Here is a 26838-nt window from a genome sequence, read left to right as displayed (position 1 = left end):
TGTTGTTTGCCAAACTCCGGAGTTAGTGGGGCGCTGCTGGAACGACACCCCAGCCCAAGCCTCCTCACTAGACACACACGCCTCGATCCCAAGACACACAGATGTTGCCCTAGGGCTGGGCATGGACATCCATCACAGGGACCCCCATCCAAACACCGAGAAACGTCCCCGCAAGCCACACACACCGAGGCCACCCCCATCTTCTGAGATGTGCAACTCCAGACGAATTCGCAGATACACAGTGCAACCAGACCGCGGCACACACATTCAATAAACTGCATTTCCACACCGTCATAGGCACTCTGCAGCCTCACAACTGCACGTGCTGGCCCTAACTCAAAACAATCTAGACGCACAAGGACAGCTAGACATCTTGACCAAATCTACATAAGTAGCCCCAGCCTCTCCAGCCTTTAACTTATTCAAACAATTAGAACTGACACAAATTGACTAAAGTCCTAGCTGAGACACACAATTCTATTCCACAATCCACACAAATGCCATTATACCACAAACTAGTGCTCTCACCCTATACAAACACACAAGAACAGACCCTCACCCTGCCAGCCTTACACCGACTTGGACCAGCCCTAAAACCCCCACCACGGAGTGGGGCCCCGGGCCAGGCCTCCGAGCAGCCAGAGTCCCTCCCCAGCCGGCCTGCGCGTCCCAGACTTTGTTTCCTGCGACTCGAGGCGGGGACGGGGAGGAGCCGAGGTTTCCAAAGCCGAGCGCAGGCCGGAGCCCCCTTTCTGCCTGGCCCGCCTGGCGCGGCTCTCAGGCTGCCACAATCCGCCCCTCGCACAAAAGTGGCCCGGCAGGTTCCGGGCCGCAGCCAATGCGCCAGCTCCTGCTCGGCTTGCCTGCCAGGAGCAGAGCCAGAGGGAGCTTGGAGCACTGAACACCCAGAACGAGAGCCAGGAAGTTCGGAGGTCGAAGGCTTCTCTCACCCTAGGACTTTCTGGCGCCTCCGCGAGAAACGCACACGGAACCCATGTGTACTTCGCAGGAGAACGTAGCCGCGGCACACGCGCTTGGTAGATTCCGTTTGACCCTCTCAGGGCAGCGCAAACGGAGAACCCGTGCCTCTCCCGAACATGCGCTTGGCCAAGGGGTCCCACAGGGAAGGTCCACAAGTAATTAACAAGGAAACGGAACATGGATCAAACTTGTATCCTACATCCCCATTAGGGGTCCCAGGCAGGACCCAATGGCAACGTGCATACAGTTCTCCGTGTCCCAGAAGGAGCGCAGAATCTGACCCACGATGCCCATTGAGCCCTGCCCGGGAGCATCCAGGGCTGGCACCCATATAGCACGAAGGGGCACATAGACCTGCGGCTCATGGCTCCTACAACCCCCTGCTCAGCTCAGCACGCGCGCACTGCGAAGGGAACGCAGAGGCAGGGCACACGCGCACCCTGCCCCGCGCCCCACTCCCAGATAGTCATCGTGGGATGGCATCTCGCAAATATTTATATTCCTCAGCGCCACGGCAGCCCGCGTCCACATTAGACACTCTAATCCTGCCACTTTAAATAGATGAATTAATAAAGCAAACGAGCGGCTAATAAGCTGACTGTCCTGCCTTTTTGAGGCGGAGGAAGGACTCGAAAGTGCGCCAAATTTGTTTGCAGTGGATCAAGGCGAGCCGCCTCTGCTTCACTTTCTTTATCTTAATTCCGACTTGAAAAGATATAATTATCTAGTTTGAACAGAGCTGCTATCAAATCCTTCTTTGGGCCGGGAAGGGGGGCGTTGGAGTGGATTGCGGCTCTCTGAGCCGCTCCGTGCAGCCGGAGATAGCGCGTAATGAAGATGTGGAGGCCTGAGATACAAAGGGCATTAACCTCATTAGCATGAAACCTTTTCTTCTTACCATTGTGGGACCCTTTCAGCCGCCTAATCCCCCCTATTTTCAAAGCTTGGTTTGTAATAAAGCTTTTAGTTTTTTTTTCAAAGCTAATAGTATTCTGTGATGATTTTATTGCTGTTACACTACATAGGACATTTACCCAAAAAAAGAAAAATCTTCACCACCAGCCCCGTTTTCTTGTACTTAAAAAGTATAAAGTATATAATTTCGGCAGAAGTAAACCTTCTGTTAAGACGGAATTTTTTTTTTTTTCTGGACAGACCATCTGAATTTTAAGAATGTTTAAGAATGAGCTCGGTGTTTGAGGTATTCCGGGTTTTGGAAGGTGAGTGGAAGGAAAAGGTAATTTGTACTTGTTGAAGAGAAAGGGATGCTTTCCGGGAGCACTGACTGCAAAGCGCTTGAGACAGCTGGTGGTCACTGAGGGTCGTGCTGTCAAAGCGCCTGGAAGCCCCACGAGGGTTTCCAGGATACCCCGAGGCGCACCTGTCCCTGTGAGACGCAAGCCCGGGTCTCCTGAGGCCACCCCGTCTCCCTCCTCCCCCGGCAACTCCCGGCGGCGGTGTATCCCCTCACGGCACACACACCTTCCAAGAAGAGTCTGTGAAAATGCACTATGAGCAGCCAGGTTTCTACAGAGGGACAGAAATGGGGGGAAAGAGGGGAGGTGGAAGACAGGCAGAGATGGGGGAAAGGAGAAAGAGACGGAGAATGAATTCTGCTTTAGAGAAGAGGAGAAAAAAAAGAAAAAATTTCCATAGTGCCCTATAGTCCCCACACGTGCACGGAATGTCTAATCTTAACTTTTCAAGGCAAGATGTTAACAAAGCTTGTATTTTTGCCCTGCATTGTAACTTGGCCTTATCACAGTGTAAAGGGTGGGGAGATTGTCCTAAATTATGTCCAGGCAGCCCCCCTGGATCCGTGGATTAAGAGATTAAAGGAGACCACTGGGCAAGGCCTCCTCTTTCCCCTTCATATTCCTGGTATGATAATTGCTTAAACTGATTTGCACTTTCACAAAAGCTCGCAGGACGCTTTGTAGCTCGAACAGAACAGACGAGGTTTCTCTATCAATGGAAATAAAACTGATTAATGCAGCCTATCAGGATAAGAAGCAAATGAAGCATGCAAAAACAACCTCGTACCCCCAGAAGGGGGAAGGAGGGAGGGAAAAAAGCTAAGTTTCCTCCAAGTCTGATTACAACTTTTTCTTTAATGTTAAAATTAAGAGTTGAAGGTTTTTCAGAACACTTGCCTTATAAGGCTGCTGAGGCCCTTGGGCTTGGCCCATCACCTTCAGCAGATTGGGGCCAGGGAGAGGAGGAAAGAAAGGAAGGAAAAGTAAGACTTGTACTTTGGGGTTTGAAGTCAGAAAGTTTAGAAGTTGCAAGATTCTGCTACATGTTTTCCCCAATATTTTGGGAGAGTAGTCCTCAATGTGTAACTATATGTCCAGTTTTTTTTTAATAACCAGAGGTTAAGAGAAGTAAGCATTTTAACCTGAAGTTCAAACTAAACTCCCTCAGGAGGGCATACAATGGGCAAAGTCTGGTTGAAAAACTTTTCTCCCATCTCTTTTCTGAAGGACTTAAGTTTTCCTAATCTTCTCCCTTCTCCACCCTCATCTTTCTTTAAAATGCCTGAGAATCCATCAATCTGGCCCTTTTGTGGGTGAGGAGCCTGGGTTTCTTGAGCCTAGTTGGGGAAGGACCACACTCAAATTACTGAGATACATTTTTAAAGATCCACTTCAATTTCCCAAGACGACTACTCTGAGGGCATATTGATAAATCTTTATTGACAAAATATTGACATTGACATACTTCTTGGAAGTATATAGTGTGTTAGAATTCTAACAAATTAACACAAAACACAAAAATATTTACATTCTGGTATAGAAGACATTAAGGAAGCATTTGTCACTCTCTTTAGTAAGTCTATGATCTTGGAATAGAAACTCAGTGCTTGAAAACTTGCCGCCGTGCGCTTGGCCACACTTAACATCATCCCCGCTAACTACAGTCCTTCAGGTTTTGCAATAGATAGATTTAAAGTTTGGAATAGGCATTGCAGTGAATGGTTGAACTCGGCCAATTTCTCCAACCACTGAAAGGAGAAGTTTGCATCAGGGTTTTAAGCCTCAGGATGTTAGGAAAGGGAATGTCCAAGAAATATAATTAATTTAGGGGTTTTTTTCCCAGTACAAGTCCTGATTCTTTTTGTGGGCACCCTCCCCCGCCACCCCCAGCCCCCCCGTCGTCCTGCTCCCCGTTTCTCTGTAAGAGGACCACTATCGCTGAGCCTACTTCATTTAGCTTGCACAATCACTTTGACATCAGAAGGTATCAAAAAGTGTTTACAGACTGCACATTTCTTGGGAAAAAAAATCAAAATAAAAAGCACACAGAACCTGTCTTTAAAAGGAAAAGAAAATTACAATTCATTTTCGGTCTTTAAACACCATTCGCCCAACAACTGCTACATGCATTTCAAGGATTTGAAACAGGTGTGGGATGGGGCTAGATATGGAATTTTTGTTTTTTATTACTAATTATTTTTAAAGATGGGGGGGAAACACAGCGAAGTGCAAAAAACAAAAAAGTCCTGTGCCTGGTTGGGTCGTGGTTTTTATCATCATCATCATTTTTTAAGTGGACTGTGATAAACGGAATACCTGCCAATCATCTTGTCTCCCCGGTTTGGTGTTTGATTGACAGCTCCCCTTGTCAGAGTGCACGTTCAGCTTTCTCTCTCTCTCTCTCTCTCTCTCTTTCTCTCTCTTTCTCTCTCTCCCTCCCTCTTTCTCCTTCTCTCTGTGTCTCTCACTCAGCTGCCTCTTTAGACGAGGGTCGCTTGTTGATGAAGGAGCCTCCATCCTCTGCCATCTTGGCGCGGCCTCGGTTTGGGACCCTGTGCCCTCGCTGTCCAGAGTCTTCGCCGCATTCCGCTGCTCCCTCCGATTCCCTCTCCCTTTCTCGGTGAACGTGTATGCGGTTTGTTTTTGTTTTGTAGGGTTTTTTCCTTCTCCACCTCTCCCTGTCTCTTTTGCTCCATGTTGTCCGTTTCTGTGGGGTTAGGTTTATGTTTTTAATCATCTGAGGTCACGTCTATTTCCTCCGGACTCGCCTGCTTGGTGGCGATTCTCCACCGGTTAATATGGTGCGTCCCTTTTTTCTTTTGTTGCGAATCTGAGCCTTCTTCCTCCAGCTTCTGCCTTTTGAACTTTGTTCTTCGGTTCTGAAACCATACTTTTACCTGCGGGTGAGAGGCAGATGGGGTGCGTTAGTTCTTTCAGAGCACCCTTCTATCAAGTGCCTGATCCTTTCACCCAGCCCAGACTCCAGTTCCAGACTCAGCAAAGACCCAGCCCCCGAGATGCAAGTCCTAAGGTCCAGCCTCCCCAAGGCCTGCCCTCAGGGAGCAGGGCCGCTAGTGCGTGGTGGAACAGAAGCCCAGCTCCCTGCCCTTCTGAGGCTTCCTGAAGAGCCTTTCCCCAGGGCCCTGTGGCCCGGAGTGCACTGAGCCCCATCTCTCCTGGCCCTGCAGAGGGCATCTATATCCCGCTGAGAGCAAAGCCTTGCAAAGCATGGGAAGCCCCTACAAAAATAATAAGTGATTAAAAGAAAAAGAGACATGTCCCTAACTCCCTCCAGCAAGCGAGTGCAAGAGAGACCTCAGTCCGCCGCTGCTGCAGCTCCCCTCAGGGCCCAATGTGCTTTCTATTTTCTGCTGGTCTGGGCGGCGTTTCCTAAATATAGCGTCTCCTCTTCGTGGCGGGGGCCCTGGGTAGGCGATCAGGGTTTGCCTGAGCTGCATCCTCCGTGCGGGGGACTCTCACAGGTGAGCAGGAAGGGGATGGGGCTGGAGGAGGCCAGGAGGGACATGGAGTGTGTAGGCCTCCAGACCAACCCAGCTGTACCTTTATAGCTAGGAAAATGAGTTCAAAACTGAAAGCTTCTGAAAGACCGTGGGTTACACGGAAAGTAAGAGAAACTAAGAGAAGGGGAGGTGACAGCAAGCCCCCTCTTCCCTCCTTCTAAACAGCCCCGGAACAGGCTGCTGGTCACACAACCTCGGACCCCAGTCCCATCACTTCCCACCAGGGTGGGGCTGGAGGCCCGGCCTCACCAGAGCGGCTGTGAGAGGTCTCAGGAGCAATGAGGTGGGAGTCGGCTGCCATCCCACGGCCCCCTAGGAAAGCTGAGTCGTGGGTCCTCATTTAGCCACCAGACAGTAACACAGTCCAATCTTCACAGCAGTGGTGTACAGGTAAGGGAGATGGCAGTGACTGCACCTCTGATACCCTCCCCCCACAACTCCTATTCTATCTGGATAAGAGTACCCCACAGCCCAGTGCCAGTCCCTGGACCCCTGGGATCCATTCCATTCCCTCCTTTGAGGCCGCAGGCCGGTCCGTCTTGCTCTCCCGGAAAGCCACAGTCGCCCAAAGTGCTCCATGAAAAAAGCTGAGCGGGAACAAGGCTGAATTTAATTTGCTTTGAGTTTGCTAATTGAGGGGGAGGACGGTTCATTTCTCCCCGGCGCTGGCCCAAGGCGCGCGTCGGTGCGCTCGGGGCTTGACACGCACACAAAGACTCCAGGCAGCGTGGGCAGCGAGGCGGACAAAGACCACCGCCGCCTCGGCTGTCCAGGAGAAATCAGCCGGGCCGCGCCTTGTGCCGGGCTCCGCACAAACCCGCCAGGCCCTCCTCGGTTTTGGGGTGGGGAACATGTTTTAAAACAAAAGCCTCGACCTTTCTGAGCTGCCCAGGAAAAGTGTTACAACTTAGTCTGCCCAAAAAAACGTTACTGTTTGCTGGGAACTTTGACCCCGCCCTGCGGCTCCGTGTACAGTAGCGCCTAGTGTAGTCCTAAACCCCCTCCCCACCCTGGGATAAACCCAAGCCAGGCCCGCCCAGGGACCCTGCTGTGCAGAAGGCCTGTGCCCTGAGGCAGACCCTCTCTGCAGCCTCCCAACTTTACTTCTCTGATATAGGGTACACACAGGACGCTTGCCCTCTACCTTCCCATCGCCCATCTCCTTCAGGGAAGTCACTGGAGCCGACGGTGTGAGCCGTGGGCTCACAGTCGCTCAGAACTCATCTTTAACCCACATCCTGTCCTTACCAGCCTCCAGCTCCAAACACCCAGAAACCCCACTGTGCTCTCCCTCTTCCTGGACCCCAGCAGGGGTCTTCACACTCTCATCAAAAGTCTCACCAGAAATGCAGGGATGTCTTAGCCAGGACATGCCCAACTGGACAGAGAAACAACTCGGCGCGTTTCCCCAGAACCTGGGGCAGATTGGCACTTACAGCCCCTTTCTGGAGCCCAACAAAGCCAGCACCTTGAGACATACATCCCGAGCCCAGGCGTGGAACCAGCTACCAGGACCTGTGCGGAAGGCCCTCACAGAGCTCCGTGCTCATGGGTGTGCTTGGGAGCCAGCTTTGGGGAGGGGGCGCACGCCTAGATGGGTTCCTCGCGCCCGGGCCGCAGTCACCTGAGTTTCCGTGAGGCTGAGGCTGTGTGCCAGCTGCTTCCTTTCGGCGCCCACCACGTAGTGATTCTTCTCAAAGGCGTGTTCCAGCCTTAGAAGCTGGGACGGGGAGAAGGCGGTTCGGATCCGCTTGGGCTTTCGGGCCAGCGCGTTGTGCAAAAGGAAACTCTCGGGGCTAGTGTCGTTCCCTGCGGGGAGCACAGCAGAAATCCCATTAGGGGGGGCTGCTCTGACCGGAGCCGCGCACTTCTCCCGAGCCGGGCTGGCCCGGCACCGTGCTCAGGGCCTTCGCATAGCCGCGCCGCTCGACCTGCGGGGGCCGGTGGTCCTCCCAAGGGCTCACGAAGGGAACGCCTGCTCAGCTGCCCGGCCCGGAACGCCGGGTCTCCACCGGTGCGGCACCCAACCAGCCGCTGTCGCAGAGGAGCCAGTCCCCAGGCTCCTGACCTCGGCCGGCTCCGCAGCCGCCCTGGCGCCGCGGGCCTCGCCACCTCCTCGCCGGGCGCTGGAGGCAGGGGAGGGAGCCGCAGAGCCTGGCCAGGGGATTGGCGCCCACAACCCGAAGAAACTACTTTCTCTTCTTTCTAACCTCTCGGGGAACTTTGACCCACGGTGGAAAGGCGGCGGGCTGCTCTCCAGAGTTTTCATGGAGATTTATTTTTAAATTATTTGTTTTATTGCCCCTCCGGAAAAGTATAGAGGCGGGGCGAGTCGTTGAAGCCCGATCGGGACAGAAATCTGGCCGGCGGGTGTGCTTGGCTACAGCCGCTGCTGCCTCTCGCGAACTGGGCTCCGGGGCTCCCGGCTCCCGAGAACTAGAAGAGAAACGCGAGCGAAGGGATCGAAACCCGGGGGGTTACCGACTTGCAGACACCGCCAGGACAGTCTGTAACGCAGGAAGATCCCAGCGGCTCCGGGTCTGGTGAGGGGACCATAAGCATGACTGATAGCGAATGAGGAAGGGCAGCCCTAAACTTTTCAAGCAAAGCCTCAGAGTTTTGGGTTCACTCATTAGCATAGGAAATCGATTCACCGAAAACCCAAACAAAGAAAAACAAGCCGACAGTCCAGGCAGGATGCAGGCAAATCCAGTTCGGGATTAAGGGTAAAAGGCTTTTTGGGTTTTTTTTCCTTTGGTTTGATTTTTTAAAATATGGGGAGGGGGGTGACATCTACCCGATTCTAGGCTCCGGCAGGAACGCAATGGGTTAATGAATGGACAAGCCGCGGAGTATTGATCGGCTGCCGCCGGAGGTAGGTCTTTTACTGACTCCAATCCGTAAACTAATTACTCCTTTTTCTGAAGTTTTAACTCTCCTCCTCCCACCCCGTACCCAGAGAAAAACAAACAAATAAAAAATATCGCAAGAAATGAAAACACACGAACAGATATTTCCCTCTAAGACAGTTTCCTGACCAGGTTCTTTTTTTTTTTTTTTAAAGAAAGAAAGAAAAACAAAAACCAGACCGAACCTGCCTTCCCGCTGTGGCTGCTCGGCGCCCCAATTAAGCAGGTCGCGGCGAGAGCGCCAAGCCCTGGAGCTTTCCTCCCGCACGGGTTCCCGCCCCTCCCCAGGCCTCCGAAAAGCAGGAAAGAAAAAACAAATCCCATACTTTTCTCCCGGGGCGCGAGGATCCTCTCGCCTCCAGAAGAGGGTGGAAGACTAAGAAGCCGCGGGTCTGGACTGAAGGGGCGCAAAGTGGGTGGTGAACAGGGTCGAACGCAGTCGAAAGCAAGCCTGGCGGCCGAGTCCTGTCCGCGCCCCTCGGAGCCAGGACGGTTGGGGGCATTGCCGAGGGTACCAGGAGCCTGGGGATCCCGCGGGCTCTGGGCTCCGCGGCGCCGGGCACGCACAGCCCAGCCTGCTCTGATTCGAGCGCACTGGGGGACAACTTCTCCGTTCGCACCCCTTCCCAAAGGGTCAAGCGGCCCGCAGGCCATCACTCCAAACCAGTCGTAGCTTCGGAGACTGGGGATCGACACCACGCCCGGCCCCGCGCCGCCTAGTTTCCCAACAGGGCGCGCTGGCCCGCGAGCCGGAGGAACCTCCGCCCAGGCCTTGCCAAGCGCCCACCCGGAGCAGGCCGGGGGCAGTGAAGGATGCGGCGGGAGCGGCGCGCTGCAGTTCCGCGACGTGGCACGTACCTTGGAAGCGATGACCCAGATATCGGTAGCGGTGGATGAGCCAGGGGTAGAAGGTGGACGGATCCCGCTGCTGCGAGGCGAATAGGGGGTGTGGCGAGTGCGAGGAGGGTAGGGGGTGGGCGGCCAGGGCGTGCGGCGGCGGCACCGGGTGCACTGGCACGGCGGGGTTGGGCGGGTGCGAGACCGCCTCGGCGAACACCAAGTCCGGGTTGGAGTAGACGCCCCTACCGGCGGCGGCGGCGGCGGCCGAGTGGAAGCCGTTGAGGAACGGATTTATGGGGCTGGAGTTAGCGTAGCTGAGTGCCGCGGGACGGATGGGGTCCTCGGAGCGCGAGGCGGGCAGGGGACTGTCCTTGGCCACCAGCGACTCGATGGTGAAGCAGCGCTTGGGCGCCGGCTGGAACATGCTGCGCCGAGGAGCGGGCGCCCTGGGCTCCCAGCTCCTGGCGACCGCCGCACGCTGCCTCCGCCGCCCGCTGCCCGCGGCGAGGACGGACGAGAATTGGGGACTCGTTTGTTTGGGGTGGGGGTGGGGGTGGGGGGAAGGAAAGGAAGAAAGAAAGGAAAGGAAAGGAAAAAGGAAAGGAGGGGGGAGGGAGAGGGAGAGGCAAAGCCGAGGATCCCGAGAATCTTGCACCAAACGCGCCCAACCTGAAGAGAGGGGGGAAAATCCTTCCAGAAGAATTTGCAGGCGTGGATTGGGGTAATTTTTTTTCTTTTTTTTTCTTTTTTTTTCTTTTTTTTTTTTTTTTTTTTTTTTGGCGAGATGGCGTGGGGGGATCGGAGTTAGAGGCAGGGAGGAGAAGGGGGGAAAGTTCTCGGGGGAGGCAAAAAAAAAAAAAAGTTTTTTCTCCTCTGCAAAAGGCGGGCAGGGCGCCCTAAGTCCAAGGACAATCCATGGAAGTGTTCGCTTCTTCACAAGTTGTGCAAACGATTTGTTAGTTCATGAGCCTAATTAGTGCGGGGATCACATAAACAGCTTCCTCCGAAGCCTGGTAAATGGCTTGATGATTGGTCGCTATTACTCGCCCTGAGGTGGAAGGGGGGAGACTCTTTAAAGTGCGTCAGAGGGAGGTGAGCGCCTGGGAACCCGGAGGCCTGGATCCGGGCCGAGAGTGGAACGGAGTCGGCGCCGCCGCCTCGGCTGAGCCTTCTGCCGCCCACCGGGCGGCCGGGCTTCTCCGCGCCTTCGCCCCTCGCTCCCAGCTCACTCGCTCCTGCGGCGCCCGCTGCGGCTTCTCCTCCTCCTTCGCCTCCTCCTCTTCCTCCAGTTTCTTCTTCTCCTCCTCCTCCTCTTCTTCCTCCTCCTCCTCTTCTTCCTCCTCCTCTTTCCCCACCTACTCCCCCTCAGCCACCGCCTCCTCCTCCACCAGCACCACTCCCTCCGGGGCACCCCGGTCCCTGCAGAGTCCCTGGCCGGCGCCGCCTCCGCTGCGGCCCCCTGAATCCCGAGCCTGCCTCGCCCAAGCTGGTAGGACAGAAGGACAGACAGATTCCTCTAGCCTAGCGCTCCGCCGCTGCTGCCTTACGCGGCCCCGCGTCGGGAGAACTGGGATCGCCCCAAGAGCACCGCGAGGGTAAGCGGGCAGGGGCTGGTTCCCGGGCTAAAGGCGCCGTTCGGTTATACCAATCCCCACACTTAGCAAAACTCCCAGCGGTTTCCTAGGCCAGGAGGGATCCTGGAGTGAGGGGTACGGGGTCCTCCCACCCCATCAACCACGCTTAGCCTCGAGGTCCCAGGGTCGGTGCGTTCGCGATTCTTGACCCGGCTCGTTCGTTTGCGAGTTGAGACCGGGAGCTGCCGACCCCGCCGGAGCAGTGGGCTTCCAACTCTCTCCCTCTCTCGCCCCACGGTCTCTAGCGTTTTCTGTCTGGGAGGGTGCTCACCTCCTTCCCCAAAACAATTCCTTCTGGAATATCTGGGACCGGCAGTCCAAGGTCAGGGGAGAGCCCGATATGGTGCTACTGTACTATTAAGGTTCCGTCGTAATTATTTTTGTCAGTGTGGTCAATGTTATTATTATTATAGATGATATTATTTTATTATTATTATTTCTATTATTATTATTATGCCATCTGTTGTCCCGGGGTTGGTGGGGGGGTGGTGGTTGCTGTGCAAACCCAGTGCAACTAACGACTACGGATCGCATCTCCGGTCCCGGGCCGTGTCCGCATTTTCGAGCTCGCCTTCGGTTTTGGGATGATTTTAGGACCGAGTTCCCTCGTCCCCATTGGCTCGCGCGGCGGCATAATTATGATCACATCCCCAGGCTGCTGGCGCTGCTCTCTGTTTATTGGTGGTTAAAGATCTATTATCTATTCATCAGCCGCCTCTTTTTTCCTTTTTTTCCTTTTGCCAATTACATTCTTCTAAAGTGAAGTACCAGCAGGTATTTTGCACGTTTACAATTAATGATAAAAAAAAATTCTAGCGTCGTTTAAAACTATTACTCCCAGGCCCCTGTCATTTCTCCTAAGAACGCAGAATTGCCTGTGTTTGGTGACTAGGTTGCCGTGAAACCTGGGAAGCCGATGGCAATGGGAGGAGAAGAGTGAAGTCCACCGTGAGCCAGGCTGCACTGCCACCAGATGCATAGTTGAGGGGACAGGTCTCAGGACGAGCTACCTGCTTCCTCCCTTGGTTTCATCTGGTGTATATTTATGTTTGTGTCAATTACTCCTTTATTCCAGATATAATGTTGTGTTGGGGCAAGTGTCCAAAAACCTCTTTTGGGAAACCAGGCAAGAGAGGAGTTGGGAGCAGTGTTTTCCGGGGTTGTCAGGGCACCAGACAGATTCGTGAGGAACTGGCAGAGATCATCTTTGTTGCCCCCACCCCACACCTTCCCAGGGAACACACATACACATCTTCACAGATGAGACAGGTGTGCGCCTCAGCTTTGCCCTCACAGTGGGAGACACCTGCCTTTCCCTTAGGCTTCGAAGTTCTGGGCTGGGGTCCTAGCCCAGTATTGTCCCTCTGTCAGTTCCAGGTGGCTTTGCTTTCTCCTCCTCCCCTTTTTCCAGGCCCAAAGATTCTGGGCTTTGGATCCAGCCCTTGGGGTAGGGGTGCACTTAAAGATGCACCTCCCTTGGGCCTGGACCACTGTCCCCCAAAATATTGTCTACAGTTTGGAAATCCCTCTCTCAATTAGGCTGTGAGGTTACAGGCCTCTCCTCTAACCCCAGCTAGGCCAGCAGGGAGCCTGAAGACATGGCAGAGGGGGGAGGTCTTTTGGCTGTGCCCAGCCAGTAAGCTTAGGGTGGAGCTAGAGGTCCGCCCTCAGGTTTTTGAGGCTGGAAACAAACACTCAGCTTAGGCAGACTGTGCATCCTGAATCCTGGCAAGCAGGAGAGTGCACCTTTCATGCAAACTTCAGAAGGAGGACTGGAGGGCCAGATTCTGGCAGTGCCCTCAGGCCAGACCCTCCAAACTCAGCCTGAGACTCAGAGGTTGCAAACTGGAGCCACTGAAACTCCACCCTTAGTGATCTTGGATGGGGGCATAAAAGTCATTGACCTTTAGGGCAACAGGTATCCAGTCTGTCTGGGAGATTGGGTGAGACCCAGATGGTTTGTGATGTATAAGGGTGATGGGTGCCTTCCCTCTTTTAAAACTTGCAGCCCTGGGCGCTAAGGTGCAATCATTATTCCCTTAACCAGGACAGTGTTGGGCTGGAGATGGGACCCCTCAGCCTTCTGCCCCAGGCAGGGACATCTGGCTGCAGTAGAGGGGTAGAGTGCTCCACAGTCCCACTTCAGTCAGTCGGCATCCTCTGCAGGCTACCTGCCTTTTATAAACTGCCCTTCTGTGGCCAGGTTTGCCCCAGGGGCTCTAGCTAGCCAACACGTAGGCAGGGGTAAAGGGGCAGCAGGATCTGAGATCTGGTGTCCCCCTTCCTGAAGGAACCAGGATATGCTAGTTCCTCTGCTCCAAGTGCTGCTAGACCCGAGCTGCACTCCAGCCCCTTGAAGGAGAAGCAGGTTTCCAGTGAGTCGGGCAGTTCAGAACCCCAGAAGCTGGGTAATCTATGCTAATTCATGCATGGGTAATCTATGCTAATTCCCGGGGCCAGAAGGGCCCGGGAAGGTTCGCGGGGTCTGGCCCCGATGTGCAGGGAAATTAACTAGGATAGTAACTCATTAACCAGACTGGCCAGTGGAGTCGTGCCAGGGCACTGGGCACTGTGGTCTGGACTGGACCCTAAGCTCCTAGATGGCGCAGCTGCCCTGCCACTCAACTTTACTTGTGGATTTAGGCCTTGCAGAATACAGCCACCTTTGTTCCTTAGCTGCCCAAGGAGTGGGTGTTTGGTTAAGTAGCCCTGCGTGGAGTGGGAGATGTGGGGATTTCTGAGGCTCCAGCTTAGAGCAAGGGGCTTCCTCCCTCTGCCCCATGTGTGCCCCAAGCCACTGCTGCCTCTTGGGCTCTGTAGACTGAGGAATCTACCTTTCCAGGTAGCTGGACTAGCAGACACATTCAAACGTTCTAATTCCGAATCTGTCACTGAATGACCTTGGGCAACACAGAAACCTCCCCACCTCATTTTGTCATATGTAAAAATACAGCCAATGCTGTCTGGGAGGCAGTGGGGAGTAGCAGTGGGCTTGTTTTGGAGAAAGATAGAACTATCCTACTTCCTGATTGTGGTGGTATTTACATGACTCTATGTGTTTTTCAAAACTCACAGAACCATATACTACAAAGGGTGAGTTTTACTATATGTAATTATACTTTAATACACCTGCCCCCATCCCCCAAGATGAGAGACTTGCATTTACAGCTTAACTGTGTGACCTTGGGCAAGTTACCTAACTTCTCTGTGCCTCGGTTTTCTCTTCTCTGAAATGGGAATAAATAATATAGTACCTTTGCTCTGGGTTTGTTCAATGAGATAAACAAAGTAAAGTGCTTAGACAGTGTCTGGCACATAATGAACTACAATAAAAGTTTGCTCCTGTCCTTGATGCTGCTATTACATACCCACCTCCAAGGCTTGTTACTGGGTTTCAGAGTCTGTGAACAATATAGCTGTACAAACATCAGCTAATGCTGACACTCCTGCCACACTCCTCCGTGCTCCCCCAAAAGCTGAGAGCTTTTCTAGGGAGATTTTGGGGTGAGCAAGGCCTGGAGTCCTGGCTCCTTGGTTGGTGTCAAAGGGCGGAGACTCCTGGGGATCTCTGATAAGCATCTGCTAGGAGTTTCCTGCAAGGTGCCCCCGGGCTTCAAAGGAGCAAAGGGCAGTGCTTCACTATAGCTGCGCTCCGTGCTAGGCCTGTGAGGTACCTGGGGTGGGTGCATGGCCTCCTGCAACTGAGAATAGGTGTGTGGGAGCTGTCTGGGGTCACCACCTGTGTGACTTTCACCTTCTTAAGCCACGGTTGACTCATCTGTGAAAAGGAAATAGCGATGTGTTAACGGTTGTTGAGAGAGTGAGTGAGCTCATATTTAGCACACTGTTAGCGTTCATCACATTTTAGTTATTGCTAGGCCATGGCCTTGTGCCGTCGAAGCTACCCGCTGCACTCTGCCACGTCCTGGTCCCTGATCGCCGAGGTTCTGGTCCTCACGTTGAACCAGAATGCTGAGCCCGCCCTGTGCTCCCGCGGCTCGCCGCGGACCGCACCGACGCCCGTGAAGGGCGAGCCCTTTCCCGGCCCGAGGCGCGAGAATGGTGTCCCGAGTTGGAAAGGCCTCGGGGGCGTTAAGAATTCCTCCAACCCACTGAGATCCCCAGTCACGCCGGCCTCTCCGAACGCGCAGGGTGGCGGTGAGAAAACGAAAAGTATAATTAATGCCCTAAAAACATTTTTTAAAAATTATTACGACAAATCCCTTTCTGGCGTCTTCCCCAGAGGCCTCTCGCCAGGCGGGCGCGGCGACCCGGGGCCCCGATCGGCGTGAGCGCAGCGGCGCCTAGTGGCGAGGGCCGGGCGCGGGCGCGGTACCCACCGCGCCCCCGAGCCCGAGGGCGGGGGAGCGCTGGGGTCGCGCCACACTGCCAAAGTCTCGCCTAGGCCGTCATCCAGGCCAGTGGAGGGGTTAAAGGAGGCTCACTGGCTACGGAGGAGCCCGGATGGCTTGGAAGTGCGTCCCTCCTGCCTCCATCAGCTCCAGCTCTTGGCTTGAGAGTTCGCCACCCACGCTGGAATTCCAGCTCCAGTAGGCTTCCTTCCGAAGGGGGCGCAGAGGTGGGCTGGAGTGGGACAGGTTCTGCTCTAAGAAGGACTAGGAAGCCGTGATCACCTGTGCAGCCACAATTCCATGCCTGAGGTCCCATATTTCGCGGCCCAACCCAGGTGGTTCAGAGAACAGGCCTTGGACGGCCTGCGCGGGCCCTGCCTGGGGTGGAGTAGGAAGAGCTGGGGTCCCGGGGTGCGACTCTCTCAGATCCGCGCCCCCTCGCGGCTGGCTGAAGACGCCCGACACAGGGGGTCCTTGGTTTTGGCAGGGGTGGCGATTGATTACCACACACTCCTAGCAGCGCACATTGACTAGCCCATTCCTCTCGGAGCGCGCGGACCCCATCCATCCCGGGGCAGCCTGGCTCCTCCGGTGATGTGGGGCCGTGGAATCCGCTTGGGCTTCACTGGAAACCCGTGTCATAGCAAGGCGGCCTGGGACCGGCGCCCTCAGCATAACTGCTTGGAGCTCCGAGCCCTTGCGGCAGGGTTTTGACCCTGGCCCTGGGCTCCGCGGGTGGCTGCAGGGGCGCTGTCCTCCTCTGGACATCCGCGCGAACCTCTGCGTCTCCGGAGATCTATCCGTTTTGAGACCCAATGTTTCAGTGACGCATGGAGCCACTGGCAGGACCCCACCGTCGGGTTTTATCTCCTTCATCACGTTGAAACTCGTCACTCCCTCACCACACACACGCTGTCTCGATTCATTATTGAAAGCAAGGAAACAGAACCAAAGGGGTTTGCAGTTTCTTTCTCCCTCAGCTGCCTTCAAATGAAAGCCTAGGACCGAGCAAGGACTGGGAGGGACAGACAGACGTACACACAGACGGTGGTGCAGGAGCTAGGGAAGAAGTACACTCTCTAGTTCGGGCGCCAGCCCGGGATAGGGATGAAGACAGTTGCGTCTCCCTTGCACTCTCTCGGGATGGAGGGTGGGTGGGAGCGTGGCAAGTCCTTCCCATCGCCCCCAAAGCTACATCTCTATGAGCCCACCAGAGCGTGCACCGGCTCCTGAGTTCCCAGAGGACCAGCATGGGGAGCGAAGCGGGGCGCACCTTCCACGCCTCTGCAGCGCTTTCTGGCTTTTCGTGTTTGAGGCTCTGCTCTCTGCCACTGATAGCCCGGCCGGCCTTTTAACTTGGAGTCTGGTCCTCGCCCGACAATGTAAGGCGCTACTTGGGTTTGTCAGCGTCCATCTAGGAGCCTATGCTACTTCTGAAACGCTGGCGTCCCAGGAGCCACACTCTCAGGGGCTTAATCGTCTCTTCCTTTAATACTTCCCCATTTTCTGGACGTGGGGGCTGGGCTGGGGCTTGGAGGGGAAATCCAGCCAACTGAGGAAAAAAAGGAAACTGGAGGTTTTTTATTTTGGACTCTGCGGCCCTCCTTGAAATATGGGGAGGATTGGGGCAAGACTTACAAGAAAACTAACAATTCCTCTCACCTGTATCGAGTTTTAGCAATTTTTTAAAAGTATGTGTGCTCAAGCCCATGATTTCAGTGAACATCACAACCTGGTGTGGTCAGGGAAACAGTCGTGATACCCACTTTTCAGATGAGAAAACTGAGGCTCAGGGAAGTTACAAAAATCACTCCGCGCACCCCCACCTCCTGGCCATGGGTGCAGTGATCACTCCACTTGGAGCCCTGGGAAGACCACCCTCTCCTCCCCGCCCACAGGAGTCAGCCGCCCGCACTCAAGCCAAGGAGAAAAGGCAGGGGAGAATGCCCTGCAGGTGGGCCGGGGTGCACGCGCAAGGTTTGCCCGGGCGGCCCCACTTAATGTCACTCTGGCTCTTGCCTCGTATGCACCCGCTCACCGTTGACCCCCGGGCCGCTCTTCCCGGCCTCAGGCCCTGCCCTCTTTCTTCTTCCTGGTTTAGCTCCTGCGGTCTCCAGCCCCGAGTTTAGGACTGGAAGGCGGAGGGTGGTCGGTGGCCTCGCCGCTGCCAGTGAGCCGAAGCTCGGGCAGGGCAAGCGCTGCGTGGCGGCAGCTGAGACTCCGTGCGCCCCGTATCCCCACGTCGCTCGCGTGGGCGACTCACAGCGGCCGGGAAACCTCTGCTGGTGGCCACAGAGCAGCGCCTGCGCGGGCGGGCGGGAAAACGGGTGCTTCCAACCGCAGCCAGCGAGGCGGCCCCAAGACCCCTCGTCCAGCGTCTTCTTCCCCGGCTCTGCCCCGCCTGCGCGGAGAGAGCTGCGGGACAGAAGAATGGACAGGGACTGGGACCTTCCGAAGGGGCTCACGGGGGTCTGACCACGACCACTCCCCCATCGCGGGCCCTGAGAAGACCCCAACTCTCTCTGGGAGCAGCCGCAGCTTTGCCGGACCAGGAGGCCCTAATTACAGACGGGCTCTGCTGCAACTCGTGGGGGCCCGGCCCCCAGGGGAGAGCGAAGGAATACTCTAGTTCTGGCCCCCGCAGCTGCCCCCGCCCCCGGCCACACGCACATTCTGGGGCCCCTCGATCCTGGAGGTTGGCCATACCAGGCCCGGCTCCCCTGTTTGCATCCCCTCGGCGTCTGGGCGCGGGAAGGCTCCGTGCACCCCGCTTCTCCCACGGCCACGCGGAGCCCTCGGCTTCGTGGCCTGCCCCTGGCGTCTGGAGGAGACACCGCGAGTGAGGCCCGAGGGAGCCTCTGGGGACTCGCAGCAGCCGAAGCCCGCTTGGGCCTCGGAGGCCTCCTCTACGCTGGGCCCGAAGTGTCCTCCCACCCCTGGCGTGGACCCGGAGAGGCCCGACCGCGGCCGCCCTCCGCTTAGCCCCGGCCGCCAGCAGCTTGCCGGGGGCGGCGTGCGCAACAAAGGGTGGCATCGCAGCGGCGCGGACAGGGACAGCATTGATTCAATATTAGCTTTTCATTCCAGTCTATTGTGCCCATCTGAGATAATATTGACTCTGAGGTGAGAGCCCACAGACAACAGGGCTTGTCTAACACTCCGCTGCAGGGCGCTCGAAGGGAAGAGAACCAGAAAGGGCGAGTTAAAGAGAGTGCGAATAAAAGCTGCTCGCGCGGCGCGGTGGCCGCCGCTGGCGCCCAGAACCTCGGACCCGGGAACTGGGGGTCGTGGGAGGGCCGAGGGGTCTGGAGGTGGCTCTGAGGAAGGGAGCTGTGCTGTGCGTTCCCAACGAAAACAGCCCTCGCTTAACACACACTCCCATCTGCCAGACACTTGATGTTGAGGTTCCCCTTCTCGGTAGCTCTGGAGAAAAACTAATTCCCCCCACACACTGTTTTGGGTTGCTAGTAAGCCAGCAGCGGCCACTGAGATATTTTCCCCTTGTAAATGGTGTAACTCTTTAGGGTAACTTTTCTGTCAAAATGTTTCTTCTATTTCCCCAACCAGTGAAGAGTAAACACGCAGCAATTATCATTAAACTGCATTACTTGAGAGAGCGTGTTTAATATCAAATTTCTAACTGTGCATTTGGCTGTGCGTTCAATCGTCTCCTTCCAGCCCATCATTGAGTTCCCTAACTGCCTTTCTAACCGCAGCTTTAAAGGGCCTCTGGAACGTTCCAGTCTTGCATATAAAGATTCGTTTCAATTTTCAAATTGCCTCTAAATGCCTCCGTTGGAAAATGGCACTTTAAGTTGTTTTACGTGTCGGAGACAGAATACTTAGGCTTACACTCGGGGCACCAAACGCAAAACGCTCAGGGCTTGCAGTGAACCTGGTGAGTGTGCCCTCGGGTGTCATTTACAGAATTGGTGCCCTCCTCCCAATTGGAGTTTGACCTCTATCAGAGATAATCTCTTCACTCCTTTACCCCAATGAGGAGCTGGTCGTTTGAGATCTTTTCATCCACCCCAAAGGCACGTGGGCGCGTGGGGAACTGGGATAGGGTGAGGGCTGGGGTGGCTGCATCACTATGAGGAGACGCTGATGTGCTTCCCTCCTTCCCCTCCAGCGCCTTGTACTGAGCTGGTGCTCGGCGACAAGGAGCAGATCGGTACCTGGGCTATTTCAGAGGACACGATGTCTCCTATGTACCATCTATAACATAGATGTTCCGTTTGTATTATATGCTGTTTAACATATAAATATGTATTATGTGGTTTCATATCATAAATTAATATTTAACATCCAGTTCCGATATAATGTTGTTATATTACTTATCTAACAATGTTTTATCATATATTATTATACAATGTATGTTGTATACAATTCTAGATGTGTGTGTGTGTGAATGTATTTGGGAGAGCCTTTAATCTCCAAGTATGCATTTGATCATTTTAATGTAACTTTATAAAGTCCTAATCGAAGCCACTTTGAAACCAGCTATGTCTTTATAGCAAAATACCCTGGAGTCCACTGTCGGCTCTAGGACAAAGTTGGGGGGAAGGTAGCTGCTGTGAGGGACAGCAGGTCCCCATTGGAAAGTGATTTTCCAAATGTTTATTCCCCGGGGACAGAGGAGCCGATGTTCTGATGTTCTGGACTCCGCGGCCGTCTCCTGTCCTCGCTTGTGTTATGGTGGTTGTTTTGGTTTTGAGAGAGGCTGTTTAGAGGCTCTAGTGATCCCTAAACTGATGTCATGAATTAAAAATGAATGTGAGGAGTGCAGCATATGCTCGGCTGAGGAGTCTGGGAGCTCAGCGGAGGCCTTTCACCTCGGGTTCCGGGCTCCAGACGACAAACTGCAGGGCTCCAGCCTGGGTGCCCGATGCGGAGGGGCCTGGCAGAGCGGAGGCGCTGCGCGGGCTCCCGCAGGTCCTCTGCCCCAGCTCGCGGCCGCCCGTCCCTACCCCGGACTGGGAAAAGCTGTCTAGGGCTTGCATCGTTTACAGATCAGATGGTCCCAACTACAGTCTGCTTTTAATACCAATTGAGAGCTAAAATAAGCAAGCAGTCGGGAGTTCCCGTTGGAGGGCAGGGGCCAGGTGTGCTGGAGGAAAATAAAGTCGGAATTTCAGATGTCCTCACGTTATCGCTCCGTTAAAAGGCAAGAACCGCGCAAGTGATTTAGTTTAGGGAGGTGGGGGGAAAAAAGAAAAAAAGAGACGAAGTCAGGTGTAGCCAAAGAAAAGATCAGAAATGAGAACCGTCCTAACTTTACAGCTTAATAAACAGGAGGCTGCTAACTCAGAAGCTTGGGAGCTGGGGAAGGAAATTGGGCTGGTGAGGTGGGGAGGTAGGGAGGGTAGGCTCAGCAAAAGGGCAAGAGGGAGAGGAGACTGTCAGGATGCCGTGGGCTGTTTATTTCTCAAAAGCAAAAACCCCCAAACGGTTACCTGGTGAACATCTTGTAGAACAAAACAAAGAAACTTGGCTAAAACCTGGAACAGGCAGTTTAGTCTCCCCACTTCTGGCAAAACTTGAGGTTCAGTGAGGCCCAGAGCCCACTTGGGATCTGGTCCAGTTCCCAGCCTTGGGAAAGGTTGTTGTGGGTGTGGAAAAGTAGAGACAGTACCTCCCGGCTCTGTCCCTGAAGGGGCTCCCAGGCACCTGCTGGGATGAGCTGGGAAGTGGGTAGAGGGGCTGAGATCAGAGGAGGGAGGAGAATGTCTTCTTGTTGCTAAAAATAAAACAACCCACTCCCCTCACCCCAATGGCTGCAGTCTCTGGCCCTGGCAGCACTGGGAGGCCTCTGAACACGTACAGAATGGCAGGCCTTCCAGATGAGGAGCGGATTGCAGTGCCAACCATGTGGATGTGGGTCTTCCCCAGATGGGCTTGGGCACATCTGGCCTGTCTGCAGCATTTTCTGCATCCAGGTGATCCATCTCGTCCCTGCCCGGTGTAGTGGAGAACTTTATTCTGTGTTAGCACCAGCGTTCCTTATTTCTACCCTGTTCTCTGAGTCTCCATGATCCTGGTTTAAAGGGCAGCTGCCCGGGTGTGCTGAAAGCGAGATAGACTATATTTCATTTCTCATCTGCTGCCAGGACATCTCACATGAGAGATAATTCATTTCTATCACTGATGGCACCAGTCCCACGTACTGTGCTGAGCTCCCATTACGAGGATTTATTTCATCTCGTCCTCCCAGAAATCCATTGAAGTCTATTCCCATTTTCCATATGAGAAAACGGAGGCTCTAAGATGTTAAGACGTTCATCCAAGGTCACACACACAGCTAGTAAATGAGGACGTCTGGATTCCAACCCGGGTCTTTCTGACTCTAAAAGCTTTTCTTTCTCCCCGCTTCCCTACATCTGATTTCATATCAAAATGCCCACCTTTCCCCAAAGAGGAAGCCACTGGGTGAGGAAGGAGACAACACTTTGCTCTTTAGTCCTCCAAAAAGTCAATGACCATAGGATAAAGAGTCTGGATCCCACATCCCCTCCAGAGCATTTATTCCGACTCTGAAAGAGACAACAGACTACTGGCACATGGACAGCGTGGATGGTTTACAAATAGCCTGACCATACCTCACTTCAGTCACCTCTCCTACCAGCCCTGTGAGGTGGACACTGTCATTATTACCCCACTTAGAGAGGCAGGAATGGACTCAACGAGGTTGCACAAGTTGCTCACTCCCCATCCATTGTGCGCAGAGCCCTGGCTGTCCCATTCCAAGTCTCCCAGCTTTGTAGATTACCACATATGGGACCATTTAACCAATGAAGTTAGACCTTGCATTGTGTTGTGAAATTGCTAAGTTTTCTCTTTTTCATGTTTTAAGTATTCCTGCACATATTATTTCAGGACCCAACTTTTTCTGCATTTATTGCCTCTCTGAGACTCATACCTTTTCCATGTATGTACCCATTTGTACTGCGAAGCCATCAAGGAAACAGAACAAGGAGTTGCCCCTTATCTGTGGTCAGATGATACTGAGAGACCTATACTCAATGGTGTATAGGTTTTATGGATAACTCTATATTTTGCTCTATTACCATTTGCCTTACTTGTGTCACTCAAACTCAAATGTGTGGTCAAGGGTTTTCAATGGTATGGCTCTGTGTGTGTGTATGTGTGTGTGTGTGTGTGTGTGTGTGTGTGTGTGTGTTTCATGACTTTCAAAGTACAGTTAACTCTCGCTTTAGACAATGTTTTCTCTTTGCTAAGATCCAAGAGGAAGAATTTGAGGCAGAAGGAATTCTTTGGTCAAATAGTTCCATGTTCAAAGAGACAAACAAGAATGCAGACAGGAAGTGGCTCAAGGGGTCTCTGATCTTAAGATACTGTAAGAAGTCCCCTGCCACCAGGAAAAGCCTGCAAGGGAAGGATGTTCTCAGCCCTCGGACAACCAAAGCTCCCTCATCAGGCTCATTCTGAATCTCACTTGTTTACCTCTCCACAAAAGCTATGCTCTCCTACCCCATGAAGAAGCTTTTTTTCCTCATTATCATGAAATGTTATATATATATATATATATATATATATATATATATATATATTTTTTTTTTTTTTTTACATTATGCCAGAATGTGTAAAGAAGTCAATAACAATCATGCAAATTACCCCTATGTGGGGGTCACCACTGCCAAACATTTTGAGATGTTAACTGAAAAAAAAGAAGGAATTAGGGCTGGGTGTGGTGGCTCATGCCTGTAATCCCAGCACTTTAGGAAGCTGACATGGTGAACCCCAGCTCTACTGAAAATACAAAAAATTAGCCGGGCGTAGTGGCACACACCTGTAATCCCAGTTACTCAGGAGGCTGAGGCAGGAGAATAGCTTGAACCCAGGAGGCGGAGGTTGCCGTGATCCCAGATCACACCACACTGCACTCCAGCCTGGGTGATAGAGTGAGACTCCATCTCAAAAAAAAAGAAAAAAGGAATTAGGTTATGCCTATACATTGTTATTATTACATTTGTCTAACATCTAATATTGTTAGATATGTCTAACAACATTGTCATTGTTGTTTTAGTGACTGAAAGGGAAGAAACAGGCTATGTGAGTCTGTTTATGTGAGGTAACCGGCAAAATAAATCTACGGATATGGAACTCAGAATGGTGTTTGCCTCTGGAGTGGGTTGACTGGGAAAGGCCCGGGAAACTTTCTGGGCTGCCAGGAATGGTTTTATATCTTGATTTGGGTGATGGTAACACGGATGTATACAATTGCAAAAAGTCATCAAACCTAAGATTTTAAAGTATTTTACTGTAAATGTTTAGATCTTCATAAAGAAAAAGAAAGAATCTTGGACAAATATTATATCAAAAAACAAACAAACAAACAAACAAGAGAGATGAAGTAGCAAAAGACTGACCTAAAAAGCAGGAGATGCTGAGCTAACACCAGCCACACAACACCTGGAGCTTTACAAAGAGGAAGACCAGGTTTGGCTCCCCTCCATTCCAGCCTCTCAGAGGCCCTCCTAGGCAGGCTGCAGGTACATCCAAGAGGGCTGGATCCTTAAATGGGTAATACAATCTTAAGGTCCTGCTGGGCCTCACCGCTTGCCAGCCTCCCTCTTCTTTAATGCTGTCACTCTGCCACGTTCACAGTGAGGCACTGCATTTCCTGATGGGGTGAGGGTCCCTTGGAATGTAACGAGAATCCGTGCTTGAGTCAGGAAGGAAGGTAAAAGGCCTTAGCTTTCAAAAAGATTCCAAAAGTTTCCTTCTTAGCCACTCTCTGGAACTCAGAATGTGGTCTCTCAGAAGCAATGTTATAAATGGTGGTCAAGATGCTACCCAAAACAATCTGTTCAATGTCTACTCATAAAAATACAGAATTTTAAGTTTGGTGGGTGAAGGAAAACTGATATACTAGGAGATTCTTTAGGAAAAACTGTGTTTCCTAAGTGATAGTGGTTGTGTGTCATAAAAAAAAAAAAAATGAGAGGAGGCCGGGCATGGTGGCTCACGCCTGTAATCCCAGCACTTTGGGAGGCCGAGGCGGGCAGATCAAGAGGTCAGGAGATAGCGACCATCCTGGCTAACATGGTGAAACCCCGTCTCTACTAAAAATACAAAAAAGAAATTAGCTGGACGTGGTGGCGGGTGCCTGTAGTCCCAGCTACTTGGGAAGCTGAGGCAGGAGAATGGCGCGAACCCGGGAGGCGGAGCTTGCAGTGAGCCGAGATGGCACCACTGCACTCCAGCCTGGGCGACAGAGCAAGACCCCGTCTCAAAAAAAAAAAAAAAAAATTAGAGGAAAACAATATTCTTTTTTTCCCAAAAATATTCCTATCTGCCAGACACTGTGTTGGCATTTGAAATTCAAAAATGAAAAGTCCTATGATATCCTCCCTCAAGAAGCTAGCCGAGGAAGACTAACCTTGTAAATACATAAGTACAATAAAATCTTCACAGACATTGTGATAGAGGTCGTCACAGTTAAACAAAACAGAAAAATAGAAGTGAATGTCGGTTGGCAAGGGGAAAGGAATTTTAAAGCAGGGAGGGCTGATGGGGTAAGGAATTAGATGCAGACCTTTAGGTAGACTTTCAGGGTTCATGGGCACAATGGCCCTGGATCTGACACTATTTCCAAATGTCTCTTTCTTTTACAATAAGACCATTACAGTTTAACTTCTCAAGCCCTGTTGGGGTGGGTTGATTGTTTTTTGACTTTCAAATTATCTGAAGGGAGTAGAGGTGAGAAAACTTGCAATTTCAAAGGGAAAAGAAAAGAACATTTAAAAGGTATGTAAACCCAGGAGAAGGACTGCCAGAGGGGGATTTGACTGAGTGTGGAGGAAGGAAAAAGCATAAACCCCAACACTGGAAAAGAAACAAAAGGTCAGTTCCCCACATCAACCACTGGATGATGAAGCTGACTCAGGACAGCTTGGGTGCTATCATGAGAGCAGAGTGGGTTAGGAGTCCCTGTGCTCCCAGAAGTATGAACGTATGGGATCACTTAAAATCAGATATTTATAGTATTTTCAGATCATTTATTAGTTCCACCAGTATCGAGCATTTACCATTTATAAGGAAATTTGCAATTGACCTGTAATTAACAGGGTTAAAAAATTGAGTCTGTCATGGTCCTTGCCCTTGAGAACCAGTTAGGGAACTAGACAGCTAAATATTATTGAACGTGATAAGTGCCCAAACATACAATGCTCAGGAAAAAGCCACTGATGTTATGTTTAAACAACACAGACAAGAAAATATTTCTTTTGTTTCTTTCCCAAGAAACTCCTGTGGGGTGGAGGAAAACTGATATACCAGGATATTTTTTAGGAAAAACTGTAAGGTATTTCAGTAATTGGTAGACAGTAAGACATTACAAGGAGGGCCATGGGTGATTGACCTGAGCAGGTAGAAAGAATATACTGAGCAAGGGACAAAAGAGAACAAGCATTTATTAAGTGCTTACAGTATTTCAGGTACTTCACATATAAGAACACATTTAATTGTCATAAAATCCTTCAAGGGAAGGTATGTATATCCATTTTTTTATAGATTAAAAAATTGCAGCTTACAGAGGTTAAGTAAATTCTCCAGAGACACACGGAGAAAGTGACAGAGCTAGGATTTGAACCTTTCTCTGTCTGTTTCCTAAGCCCTGACTTGAGAACACAATTCAGCATGGGGTATTAACCACGCAGGATCTACTGAGCCCCCACGGTTGTTCTGCAGGTAGAATGTGATTAGGGAGTCAAAGTGCCTTTGGAAAATGCAGGCATTAGACAAGCATTATTTGTTAAAATAGTTTGCGGCTATGTTCTCCCCTTGCTGGTCTTCATTCAACAAATATTTCTTGTGTGCTAAGCCAGGCACTGTTCCAGGCACTCAGGATATAGCAGGGAGAAAAGCAGATAAAATCTTTACCCTGGTGGAGCTGACATTTCCCCAAGCAGGACAGTCTGCAGACATGAATAAAAAGATTGATCAGCCATGTGAGAGAGAGAGAGTGCTTAAGGCTGAATCTCTCTCTCTCTCTCTCTCTCTCTCTCTCTATATATATATATACACACACACACACGGTTATATAGATGTAGTTATATATATAGTTATATAGATACAGTTATATATAGTATATATATAGACTATATATATATATATATATACTCTCTCTATATATATATACGCATATTCACTATTTGAAATATTGAAAAATTGGAAACCCAAGAGACTAAATGTTCTTTAATGGGGACTTTTTTTTTAAGTATGTTTCCATATTATGGAAAACTGTGTAATATAGCTATTGCAAAGATGGAAGTAGCTCTTTTTCTGTAGTGTCATGGAAAGACCTCCAAGATCTATTAAGG

The 26838-nt window shown here is 52.0% G+C and overlaps 1 protein-coding gene and 1 non-coding gene across 4 annotated transcripts in view, besides 10 other annotated features; one reads left to right on the top strand and one right to left on the bottom strand.

Annotated features, from left to right (window-relative positions):
• Positions 516 to 1307: an enhancer, noted in NCBI's record as "H3K27ac-H3K4me1 hESC enhancer chr10:119311403-119312194 (GRCh37/hg19 assembly coordinates)". NCBI's record gives its function as "activates a minimal SCP1, AML or CMV promoter by ChIP-STARR-seq in naive H9 embryonic stem cells {active_cell/tissue: H9 hESC(naive)}" and the evidence as "EXISTENCE:reporter gene assay evidence [ECO:0000049][PMID:30033119]".
• Positions 516 to 3510: a biological region, named in NCBI's record as "VISTA enhancers hs935 and hs1032".
• Positions 1252 to 2227: an enhancer, noted in NCBI's record as "VISTA enhancer hs935". NCBI's record gives its function as "enhancer in: midbrain (mesencephalon)[14/15]" and the evidence as "EXISTENCE:transgenic organism evidence [ECO:0001131][PMID:17130149]".
• Positions 2166 to 3510: an enhancer, noted in NCBI's record as "VISTA enhancer hs1032". NCBI's record gives its function as "enhancer in: midbrain (mesencephalon)[6/7] | forebrain[6/7]" and the evidence as "EXISTENCE:transgenic organism evidence [ECO:0001131][PMID:17130149]".
• EMX2 (empty spiracles homeobox 2) lies at positions 3653 to 10453 on the bottom strand. 2 transcript variants are annotated; one of them, NM_004098.4, is made up of 3 exons: positions 9526 to 10453; positions 7383 to 7567; positions 3653 to 5134 (listed from the first exon to the last, which is right to left on the bottom strand). In NM_004098.4, the coding sequence occupies exons 1-3, from the start codon at positions 9929 to 9931 to the stop codon at positions 4967 to 4969; spliced, it is 759 nt and encodes a 252-aa protein (NP_004089.1). In that variant the 5' UTR covers positions 9932 to 10453; the 3' UTR covers positions 3653 to 4966. The 2 variants fall into 2 exon arrangements, with proteins under 2 accessions (NP_004089.1, NP_001159396.1); NM_001165924.2 differs by lacking the exon at positions 7383 to 7567.
• Positions 5207 to 5501: a silencer, noted in NCBI's record as "tiled region #1864; K562 Repressive non-DNase unmatched - State 21:Repr". NCBI's record gives its function as "represses a minimal TATA promoter and a strong SV40 promoter by Sharpr-MPRA in K562 cells {active_cell/tissue: K562}" and the evidence as "EXISTENCE:reporter gene assay evidence [ECO:0000049][PMID:27701403]".
• Positions 5493 to 5582: an enhancer, noted in NCBI's record as "active region_4100". NCBI's record gives its function as "activates an Ori minimal core promoter by ATAC-STARR-seq in GM12878 lymphoblastoid cells {active_cell/tissue: GM12878}" and the evidence as "EXISTENCE:reporter gene assay evidence [ECO:0000049][PMID:35858748]".
• Positions 6125 to 6747: an enhancer, noted in NCBI's record as "H3K4me1 hESC enhancer chr10:119305963-119306585 (GRCh37/hg19 assembly coordinates)". NCBI's record gives its function as "activates a minimal SCP1, AML or CMV promoter by ChIP-STARR-seq in naive H9 embryonic stem cells {active_cell/tissue: H9 hESC(naive)}" and the evidence as "EXISTENCE:reporter gene assay evidence [ECO:0000049][PMID:30033119]".
• Positions 7993 to 8615: an enhancer, noted in NCBI's record as "H3K27ac-H3K4me1 hESC enhancer chr10:119304095-119304717 (GRCh37/hg19 assembly coordinates)". NCBI's record gives its function as "activates a minimal SCP1, AML or CMV promoter by ChIP-STARR-seq in naive H9 embryonic stem cells {active_cell/tissue: H9 hESC(naive)}" and the evidence as "EXISTENCE:reporter gene assay evidence [ECO:0000049][PMID:30033119]".
• Positions 8131 to 26838, top strand: part of EMX2OS (EMX2 opposite strand/antisense RNA) — a 60776-nt gene continuing 42068 nt past the window's right edge. The window contains exons 1-2 of one of the 2 annotated variants that reach the window (NR_002791.2): positions 8131 to 8633; positions 8823 to 8893. This is a non-coding gene — a non-coding RNA (EMX2 opposite strand/antisense RNA). Of the gene's footprint in view, positions 8634 to 8822; positions 8894 to 10609; positions 11103 to 26838 lie in introns of those variants that run through there. The other variant, NR_144378.1, reaches the window with a different exon arrangement.
• Positions 8616 to 9238: an enhancer, noted in NCBI's record as "H3K27ac-H3K4me1 hESC enhancer chr10:119303472-119304094 (GRCh37/hg19 assembly coordinates)". NCBI's record gives its function as "activates a minimal SCP1, AML or CMV promoter by ChIP-STARR-seq in naive H9 embryonic stem cells {active_cell/tissue: H9 hESC(naive)}" and the evidence as "EXISTENCE:reporter gene assay evidence [ECO:0000049][PMID:30033119]".
• Positions 17360 to 18323: an enhancer, noted in NCBI's record as "H3K27ac-H3K4me1 hESC enhancer chr10:119294387-119295350 (GRCh37/hg19 assembly coordinates)". NCBI's record gives its function as "activates a minimal SCP1, AML or CMV promoter by ChIP-STARR-seq in naive and primed H9 embryonic stem cells {active_cell/tissue: H9 hESC(naive and primed)}" and the evidence as "EXISTENCE:reporter gene assay evidence [ECO:0000049][PMID:30033119]".

Source organism: Homo sapiens, chromosome 10, assembly GCF_000001405.40.
Source record: "Homo sapiens chromosome 10, GRCh38.p14 Primary Assembly".
Taxonomy (NCBI): Eukaryota; Metazoa; Chordata; class Mammalia; order Primates; family Hominidae; genus Homo; species Homo sapiens.
This window is presented reverse-complemented; position numbering and strand designations above follow the sequence as displayed.